The following is a 10,669-nucleotide window of genomic DNA, read 5'->3' on the forward strand; positions in this document are numbered from 1 at the left end:
ATATTACATAATATGAAAAATGACTTTTCATAGTAAACCATGAAAATGGAATACCTGCAGTGTCAAAGTCACCAACTTGTCACCTTTTCCAGTCACAGAATCCCAACACATTGTATTAATGATGACTGGGGGGGGTCTTACAGCCTGATGTATATAGGATGAATAAATGTAGAGAAAGGAGCATTTTCATGAAAAATAAAATTTAAAAACCAGGTAGGATTTATTTTAAAGAACACAGTTGAAAGTAAAACATTTACATCAGCCCAGTTTGCCCTTTTATAAAAAGTAGTATAGCTTTTCATTTTATATACAAACCTGCAGTGTCTGATTTCATTTTAAAACTTAATTTTAAGCACTAAAGAAAATTTGAATAGAAGCCTGTGTGTATTTTCTCTGCTAATTCTGTATGGGATATCTGGCATCTCCACTAAGAGTAATTAATACAGGAATCTGACCCTCCTAGGCTGTGCTGACAATGGAACTGTTGTAGGTAAAGTCATTTTCAGATTAAATACAACAATTTCCACATTAGAATCAGAAGAGTTATAATTTTTCCAATCATAGGACATCCCATGAAATTCACAAAAATTATAACTTATTTTATTTTCCATTTGACAGTATTTACATGTTCCACAGATATTTGTAAAACGGCTGCAAATTCCTTGCTTTTTAGATACACATTGCATATCTGGCTTCACAATTATTTAACATCTCTTTATCAACAAAACCAGCTTGTCTCAAACACATACACCTTACTTTAGATAAAAACAATAAACATCCAATTACAGTTACTCTTTTAGGACTTTTATGATGAACATTAAGAAAAAAATGACAATTTTGGGTGACATTCTTCTTTGTCTTAAAGAGGCAGAAGCATTCATGTAACATAGTTTGCAAAAGATCTTTTGGGTAATTAGGGGGAAAAAAACTGATAAATTTGATTTCATTTCATTTCCAGGCAATTAAGCGCCGTAAACATTTTAAATTTCCCCTTCACTTTCTTCCTCTAAATATATATGTAGTTGGATAATTTCATCCTGGGAGTAGAACCAGATACAAGAAAATCAAACAGTAATAAATGAAACATTCCCTCTTCCAGAAGGTAAGAGAGAAAGCTACATTACACTGGGGAAGGCTCCCAGGCTGACGACACGGATTACAGTCTCTTCTGACGGAATCAAATCTCCCATCTCTTTATTCACAGGACTTGGTAGAAATGCAGGGCAATCGTCAATTTTTACAATAAAAAACCTTATTTTAGAAACCCTAAACTATCATTAGATTCTGAAGTTCTAATTTGCTAACTAGTTTGACCAAGTTTGTTAAACTGCACATGAGGAAGATAAATTTCTGGAAAGTTTAATTACACAATTATTTATCTTCTTTACACGTCTCCAGTTTCTACAAATGAAAAAGACAGGAGGAAAAAAAAATCACACCACCTTTATTTATTGAATGAGCTAAAAGACAACACAGAGAATACTGGAAATGACGGCTGTCATATTTCCCCGGTCTGTGCCTCCTTCCTCCCATGCCCCACCGCCTCCCGCAAGCACAGTGCTGGGCAGGAACCCGGTGCTCCTTCTCTCCACAACTTGCACATCCACGGGGATTCACACGAGGGCCACCCACTGCTGGACCCGACTCTATCTGCTTGAGCTAATCTTGTCAAGTTCAATTCCAAGCACATTTGCCCAGTAAATTAAGAGTACTCTATTTCAAGTGTACAAAAATACATCGCTTTGGAGAACTGGAAAAGGTTTAATACATACAACACTTATTTACAAGCTGTGACTTTCACACCTGTAAAAACAAACACACTTATTTTTGTCCTTGATTTTTGGTGCAACTTATACATAAACATTACATCAGTTAGTCTGTATTTTTAAAAATAATAAATCAACCATATGTACAATTAAATTTACAACCGAAAGCAAATAATCCATTGGAACAGTGTGACTGCAACTCAGTAGACCAGTGGAGGACATTCCAGGACTTGAGTCCTTCCCTACAACCAGACCAAAAACACACTGAGGACCTCTCTCATCCTCACGATGGAATATCTTAATTTCTAAGACTTAAGATGCAAAAGAAAAATAACGATTATACAGCTACAATTACATGTAAAGACTTTAAAGGGACAGAAAAACAACATATTAACCCCCACATATATAATGATCATTAAATTAAATATATTTAACTCCCAGTGCATATGATATTCTATCAACATTATGGGGGACCACAGGGTTCCAGAAACATTTATCCCTAAACCACCTCACCGCTGAGGCGCTCCTCACAGCCGGGTCTCAGCTTTCTTCAGTACCTTTCACGTGGCTCCGGCTGATGGGCCTCCAGGTCCCCCAGCTCCGGCATCCCAAGGCACAGAAGGGGTTATGATCCCTCCCTCCCCCACCCGCCTCCCCTAGAAGGGTGTTATTCTAGAAAAGCACAATGAGAGGATCTGCGGTAAACGGCTGTTTTACCCCTTAGGGGACACAAATCCACCCCGATCAGGAAACTGGGCAGCTGTGTGACCAGAAAGGCACACACGTCACTAAGACCGTGAGGGCTGCTGAGTGTCTACCTGAAAGACAAATGGCCTTCCACGAAGAGCCAGCAGACGGAGGCTGTTCCGTGGAGACAGCGTGGGTGGAAACTTTCATGAGCAGCGTGTGAGGTAGGGGGAGGGAGGCCAGGGCTCTGAGTAAGCGGCGTCGGACACCAGCATGGGGACGGGGTGAGAAAAGCAGGAATCTGAGATCACAGGCGGCATGAAAACAACAACAGAACTCAGCTGGCCAGCTGCGTGATGACACTCTCTGATGTCCCCACGGCCAGGCAGGACCACTGAAGGTCTGGCTGGAGCCAGAACGGAAGAGTCCAGTCACAGTCCCATAAAGTGCACTCCTAGCTGGGAAGTGGCGTGTGTTCACCCTGGCGTTGTCATGTTACACTGACTTCCAGGACGTGGTCATCTTGGCTGGGGATGACCAGGACTTGTGTGCCCGAGCTGGAGTTGAAGACCTGGCCGGCCGGCAGTGCCTGCAGCCGGGGCATGGGTAGGCCTTTGTGCTCGCTGCTGCAGGCCGAATGCACGCTGCCCCTGCTCTTGAGGCTGCTGCTGTCCGGCTGGTCGTCCCCGTGCTTGTCTACTGACAGGCTGTCGTTTTCTATCCAGCTGTCTGCAAAACACACAGGAAGTTAGACCCAAGCTGCGCCGACACTCACCTGGGGACGGGCAAAGCCACACGGAGCCAGGCTGAACGTGCAGAATGCCACCCGAGGCTGCCCCTTTACAGAGCACTCTGTGCACAGAGGCTTGGCTTTCAGAGCAGGTGCCTAAGATTCTAACAGCGGATGAGGCTTCTAGTACCAGTTTCTACCGGCACTGAAAACACGCCGCTAGTTCTCCAACCTGCTCAGTCATAAGTTTATCACCTCTCGCACAAAGTGCTCACCTGCTCAAATACTGAAGGTAAACTTTTTCTTCCAAAGTCCTTACCAGCGTCCAGTTGGGAGGAGTGTGCAGAATGATGGGGGAGGTACTTGAACAGCCTGACGTCGGGCAGGGGGAGATACCCGGCGAAGAGCGGCATCACTTCCATGTGGACCCTGTGAGTGGCCCGAGCAGCCACTGGCATGGAGATGACACCGCAGCTTTTCCCACACACTGCCCAGTTGCTACTGTTGTCGACAACTGAAACGAGAGGAAGCGATGTGTCATCCAGGACGGGCCTTCCAGTACTCAGGCGAGAGTCACGGCCGTCGTTACCCAATCCTCTCACCCAACGCTGTCTGACAAAACACTGCGGACACAGAGCCCAGTGCCTTGTAGCTGCGCCTGAAGATAAAGCCATGCACTTTCACGGTGGCAACCCCTATTTCATTGAGTCCAATTTCAATTAGTTCTGGATTAGAATGAATTATGCTGGACGTGTACAGAAAACTGCATTTTTCCTGTGAGGTTAATAAATGATTTAATTTTGTTTTCAAATTTTTGTGTCATCTTCCACAGTATGGTGACTTTGGCAGTTAATGGGTTCTGTCTGGTAAGTGGCAGTATCCAAGACCACTGGGTCTGAAGCCAACTCTGCCACTCAGAAGAGCACCCCAAGGCCTCCAGGCTCAATGACCGCTGTATAGTGCTGAGACCACCACCAGCCTCACAGAGCTGCTTTTTAAGGATGGAAAGAGAATACGTATGAGGGAACTACAAAAAGTTCATGCAAAAATGGAATCCAAAGATGAAAACAGAAAATATAAGCTTTATTTCTCAACATAAGCCCCACCAAGGTCAAGACATGTTTGTAAGCAATGATGCCATTGCTTACGATGCCATTTAGTCCATCCCTGAAGAACTGGGAGGCCTGAGAATTTAGCCATGTCAACGCAGTCTTTCTCTACATTATTAGCTGAATAAAAATGGGTGCCTTTTAAAGACTTCTTAAGATCAGGAAACCAAAATCAGTCAGAAGGAGCCGAATCAGGTCCACAAGGTGGATGCCTCATGATTTCCCATAGAAACCCTCACGAAGTTGGGCTTGTTAGAGGAATGAGCAGGAGCTTTGTCGTGGTGGAGGAGGACTCTCTGGTGAAGCTTCCCCAGGGGTTTTTCTACCAAAGCTCTTGCTATCTTCCTCAAAACAATCTCATAATACACAGACGCTGCTGTCCTTTGACTCTCCAGAAAGTCAACAAGCAAAATGCCTTGAGTATCCCAAAAACCTGTTGCTGTGGCCTCTGCTCTTGACCAGTCTGCTTCTGCTTTGGTGGGGCCACCCCACCTCTTGGTAGCCATTGCCGTGTCTGCTTTGTCTTCAGGATGGTACTGGGAAGGCCACACTGCATCTCCTGTTATGGTTCTTTGAGTAAATGCTTCAGGATCTTGATCCCGTGTGTTTGAAGTTTCCATGGGAAGCTCTGCTCTGGTCGGCCACGGACCTGGGTACTAGGGTTTTGGCACCCACTGAGTGGAACGCTTGCTCACCCTTCAGGCGTAATTGCATAAGCTGAACCAGTTCAGATGTCTGCGGTGTTGGCTGTCATTTCTGCTGTTGTCAGTTCCCTCCAATTAGGGCATGAACAAGGTGAATTTTTTCCTTGAAAATGGATGTGGATGGTCTGCTTGCTGTGGCCTTAATCTTCAGCATCATCTCGTCCCTTCTTAAAACAAGATATCCATTTGCAAACTACTAATTCTTTGGGGCACTGTCCAAAGAATTTCATAAACTTTTCATAAAGCATCAATGATTTCACCATTCTTCCACCCAAGCTTCACCATAAATTTGATGTTGGTTGTTTTGTTGTTGTTGTTGTTGTTGAGGCGGAGTTTCGCTCGTTGCCCAGGCTGGAGTGCAGTGGCGCAATTTTGGCTCACTGCAACCTCCGCCTCCTGGGTTCAGGCAATTCTCCTGCCTCAGCCTCCCAAGTAGCTGGGCTTATAGGCGCCTGCCACCACGCCCAGCTAATTTTTGTATTCTTAGTAGAGACGGGGTTTCGCCATATTAGCCAGGCTGATCTTGAACTCCTGACCTCAGGTGATCCGCCTGCCTCAGCCCCCCAAAGTGCTGGGATTACAGGCGTGAGCCACTGCACCCGGCCAATGTTGGTTCTTGATTTAATTTTAGCAGAATTCATGTTGCTCTGATAGGGGCTCTTTTAAAACTGATGTCTTATCCTTCTTAGTGCCTCAAACTAGATCCTGCTCAGTGAGTAGGAGCTTATTTTGGTGCAAAAAGTGTTGAAATCCATGCATAGTTTTTTCATAACGTATCTTCCATGATTTTTTTGAAGACCCCTTGTATGTAAAGCACTTAGTACCACTCCTGGGACATGGTAGTGTCTTAATATATGGCAGGTGTTATTATTAACATTAATTATTAAAACACAACCATCATGTAATTCAATGCAATTCAAACACTTAAGTGATCATTCACTGGGACTAGCCCTGGAGATATGAAAGTAAGCAAGACAGGATCCTTGCCATCCAGTAGCAGTAGACCTGGTAAAGAGGTCACAGCTTCCCATCATGAGGATACCGAGCAACCGCCCAGGGGGAGTGAGTGACCAGAAGGCCACGAGCAGCAGAGAAGGGCTCAGGGAGGTGGACATCCTGTAGTTGGGGATGGGGGACCTTTGAGGACAGGAGCTACTACAGGACATGCAGAGGCCCTAGGAGTGTCAGGAGGAAGGCAAAGGAGTGACAGTTCTCAGAGTGTGGCTCTCAGGGCACCCGCAAGCTCATAGCTTTCACACTGCTGCCTTTCTACGCTGCTGACCTCGCGCTGCTGGGGCAACCACAATGGCATGAACTCGGGCCAGACTGCGCAGTCATGTCACTCATGTTCTTTACTACCATGAACTCACAGCAAAAAAACAAAAAAAAAAATGCCACGCTTCACAAAGCAGTCAAAAGTGCTCATTTTATTAAATTCAGCTCCTGAGTAGACTTTTTTTTAATTGTGAAATGTTTATAGACTCACAAGAAGTTGTAAAAGTAGTAGAGGGGTCACATACCTTCATCACCAGCTTCACCCAACTGTGCCATCTCGTGTAACACAGGAAGCTGACACTGGTACCATACAGTGACCCAGGCTGCAGACCCCACTGGATTTCACTACAGAGTGAACCAGGCTGCAGACCCCACTGGATTTCAATACAGATAGAACCAGGCTGCAGACCCCACTGGATTTCACTACAGAGTGGACCAGGCTGCAGACCCCACTGGATTTCAATACAGCTAGAACCAGGCTGCAGACCCCACTGGATTTCACTACAGAGTGGACCAGGCTGCAGACCCCACTGGATTTCAATACAGATAGAACCAGGCTGCAGACCACACTGGATTTCACTACAGAGTGGACCAGGCTGCAGACCCCACTGGATTTCAATACAGATAGAACCAGGCTGCAGACCCCACTGGATTTCACTACAGAGTGAACCAGGCTGCAGACCCCACTGGATTTCAGCAGCTTTCGCAGGCATTCTTTGGGTCTAATTCTATGGCATTTGTCACATGTGTAGATTCGTGTAACAACCACAGCGGCCCTGGCCCAGAACTCTCCATTACCACAGAGGACGGCCTCCTGCTGCCTCCCACTGCTCCGTGGAACACTGACCCGCTCTCCTTCTGAGGCTGGCATTTTGAGGATGTCATTTAGAAATGGAATCACACAGTACACCTCCTTATAGGACTGGCGTTTTTCTCTTAGTATAATGCCCTTGAGATCCAACCACAGCACTGCGTGTGTCAACAGTCCCTTCTGTTTCACTGCTGAGGAGGAATCAGATGTGCCAGTTTAACCGCTCTCGAGCTGAAGGACGTTTGAGTTATTTCCATTCTTGAGTGCTTGTGTTCTTGACATTCTCTGGGTCTCTGCTGCAGAATGACAGCTGGCTCAGGGAAAGCACACGGGGAGCGCTCGGTGCTGCGAGCTGAAATAGCCGCTGTTTTCACAGAACGCCCTTTTCACTTGCAAGAGCGCTGGGGAAGCTAGTTATTCAGTGTTGGGTATTTGGTAGACGTCTGATTAAAAATGAATGATGTAAGCCTGTCACTTCAAAGAAAACAACACGACTATTTGCTGCCAATGATGCCATCTGAGACTTTAAGCAAAAATCAGAATTTTGGAAAACTTACACTTGCCACTGTGAGCTTGAAAGAGTTCTGATGCTCCAAGCCCTCCCTGAGAGATCACAAATGCAGATTTTAAAAAAATATTGTCAAACGAAAGGTGCCCACATTTGGAAGATCTGCACAACTCAGGAAACCATGTTTCCCACATGACTAATGGCACAGGGTGTAACGCTATGATGCCTGGGTAAAAGAGCCATTCAAAATGCAAGATAGGCTGAGTGCAGTGCCTCACACCTGTAATCCCAACACTCTGGGAGGCCAAGGCGGGAGGACTGCTTGAGCCCATGGGTTCGAGACCACCTACCTTCATACATAAGCTTTGTCGAAAAATGCTCATCAGATTCAGTCAGTGCTTCATCTTTATCCACCTCCAAGAGGTCTGAGAGCCTCGTGATCAAAACCTCCAGGGAGCAGAGGGAGCCTGTTCTGCAATACTCCATTCCCGAAGGGGGAAAGATCTCAGCCTTCACGTTGTATAATGTCTGGGCAGGAAAGGGAGAGAATAGAAAGGAAATGTACCTAAGTGGCCTCAAGAAATGCAACTAGAGGAAAAAGCAGAGCTGCCCACAGACCCTGGAGAGCTGAGGATAGACACCTATCTGCTCGGCTGGCCTTAGAGCAACTGTCGCCACTCACTCTCAATAATTCCCACTGGAGATGCAATGTTTTCGGAAGTCCTACACTCCGAACCTTAACATCCTTCTTTAAATTATGAACATTTTCAACCACAGGAAGAAAGGATAGCACAGAGCCCTTCCAGCCGCCTATCACCCAGATCCTGAGATCTCAGCATCTTGCTGCCTCAGCATCCTCTTATCAAGCCATGGACATTTCTGTATTTGCCTGAGGTAATTTAAAGCGAATTTCAGGCCAGGCATGGTGGCTCACGCCTGTAATCCCAGCACTTTGGGAGGCCGAGGTGGGCAGATCACTTGAGGTCAGGAGTTCGAGACCAGCCTGGGCAACATGGTGAAACCCCGTCTCTACTAAAAATACAAAAATTAGCCGGGTACAGTGGCAGGTGCCTGTAATCCCAGCTACTTGGATTACTTAGCAGGAGATTCCCTTGAACCCAAGAGGCAAAGGTTGCAGTGAGCTGAGATCGCACCACTGCACTGTAGCCTGGGTGACAGAGCAAGACTCTTGTCTAAAAAAATAAAATAAAATAAAAAAATAAAGCAAATTTCAGACAACCTGTTATTTTGCCCCATCTGCTTCAGTATGCATTACTAAACACTAAGGCCTTTTTCTTACCAAAACACAATGCTATTATTACAACTAGCAAAAGCAACAGGAATTCCTTGGTATAACCCAATTCAGTCCATAATCTACTTTGTCCGTGTTTTCTTTCCATAATCAACCTATTCTCGGTGGCTATTCAAACATGCTTAACATTCTACCACCACCCATGACAAACGATCAAAACACATCTGCCACTGCCAAGATGAAAAAGGGCTCATGCACTACAACCTGGCAGTTCCACTTCTGAGGGGAAGCGTTGTGTGTGCGCGCGAGCGTGTGTAATACAGTATAGCTTGACTTAAAAAGTGTTCTATTGGCATTGTAAAATGTTCAAAGAAGAGATTTCAGTATATTAAGAAGCATTTGTCTGGAGTCTGAGGCCAAGATGAAGCCGTTTTATGGGAGTTCACAGCCTAAACAGCAGTCCCAAGAGCGGCCTTTCTAGGTGATCTCCTACCAAATGCCCAATTACCTCTGTTCGGACATGGGACAAACTCCCACCAGTCTCAAGAGGGGCCATGCTGGGACTTCCTGGGGCTCTCAAGCCACAGGGCAGAAAAGATCCCAAATACACAGATGCAAAAGTGCCAGCCGTGGGCCCGGGTGCCCGTAGGTCCTGGGAACTGAAGCAGTAGAACACTGTGCTAGAGGCCCACTGAAATACCTCCTCCTCAGAAGCTTCTGGCTGGGGCACAGTCTGAATGTTTCTGAATCCAGCAAAGAATGCAGATTTGCCTCAGGGCTTGAAGGACACCCAGAGTTGCAGTAGGACACAGTGGGGTGTGATGAGACCTGCGTGTGCCTGAACGCTGCTCTGGGCTGCATCTGGGAAGGAGAGTGGCTGGGGGAAAGCACAGCCCAAGGCGAGCAGCAGGGGCCTCACCTGGCGGCACCTGGAGCTCAGGCACAGGGACCAGAACCGCAGAGCCTCTTCAGAGAGACACGCGAGCACTGACGGCCAGCTGGAATCTGGCAAGGGGGCCAGGGCCACCCTGCAGGGAGGAAAGCATCGTCATGACAGATGGGATAGGGACACCTGCTGGGTCATTTGAAAAGAACAAATTTGGACCCTACCTCTCACCATACACAGAAATTAAGTCAAAGTAGATCACAGACCTAAATGCAAGTGCTCAAATTACGAACATCTTGGAAGGAAATGCAAGAGAAAATCTTTTTGACCAAAGGCAATGATTTTCTAGGTCCAAAGCAAAAAATTTAAGCAATAAAAGAGAGAGTTGAATTGGATTTCATCAAAATTTAACTTTGGTGCTTCAAAAGACAACAAATGGAAGAAAATACTTGCAAATCATATATAAGGACCTGGTACCTAGGATATATAAAGAACTTACAATTCAATAATAAAAAACAAATAACCCTATTTAAACATGGGGAAAGGATCTGAACAGACATCCTTCCAAAGAAGGCAGAAAAATGGGCCACACGCCCACGAGCCGCAGCACATCACCAGCCACTGGGGAAACGCCTGCCAATTGGGACAGCCACAACCAAAAACACAGTGAGACAAGTGCTGGCAGGACACACAGAAGCTGGGACTCTCTGGGTCCCAGCTGGAATCCACTATGTTGCTGGTGGGAATGTAGAGCCCTCTGGAAAAAGTTGGCAGTTGCTCAAAAAGCTAACCACAGAGTTACCCTATGACCCAGAAATTCCACTCAGGTCTTTACCAGGAGAATTGAATAGATACAGCAACATACAAACCCGTACTTTGGGCCAGGCACGGCGGCTCATGCTTGTTATCCCAGCACTCTGGGAGGCCAAGCGGGGTGGATC

General features: G+C 46.1%; 1 protein-coding gene across 1 annotated transcript, besides 1 other annotated feature; it reads right to left on the reverse strand.

Annotated features, from left to right (window-relative positions):
* Positions 1 to 10,669: part of a sequence alteration artifact (region identified as an assembly artifact by the Genome Reference Consortium. This region falsely duplicates sequence located at GRCh38 chr21:44095806-44253496) that runs on past the window's edge.
* On the reverse strand, positions 197 to 9,887 carry LOC102724200 (trafficking protein particle complex subunit 10-like; the record flags this gene model as incomplete). The annotated part of the gene is made up of 4 exons (XM_011546082.4): positions 197 to 3,182; positions 3,503 to 3,697; positions 7,941 to 8,118; positions 9,762 to 9,887. Coding segments are annotated over 4 exons (738 nt in total), but the record flags the coding sequence as incomplete, so codon positions are not given.

Source organism: Homo sapiens, chromosome 21 (genome assembly GCF_000001405.40).
Source record: "Homo sapiens chromosome 21, GRCh38.p14 Primary Assembly".
Taxonomy (NCBI): Eukaryota; Metazoa; Chordata; class Mammalia; order Primates; family Hominidae; genus Homo; species Homo sapiens.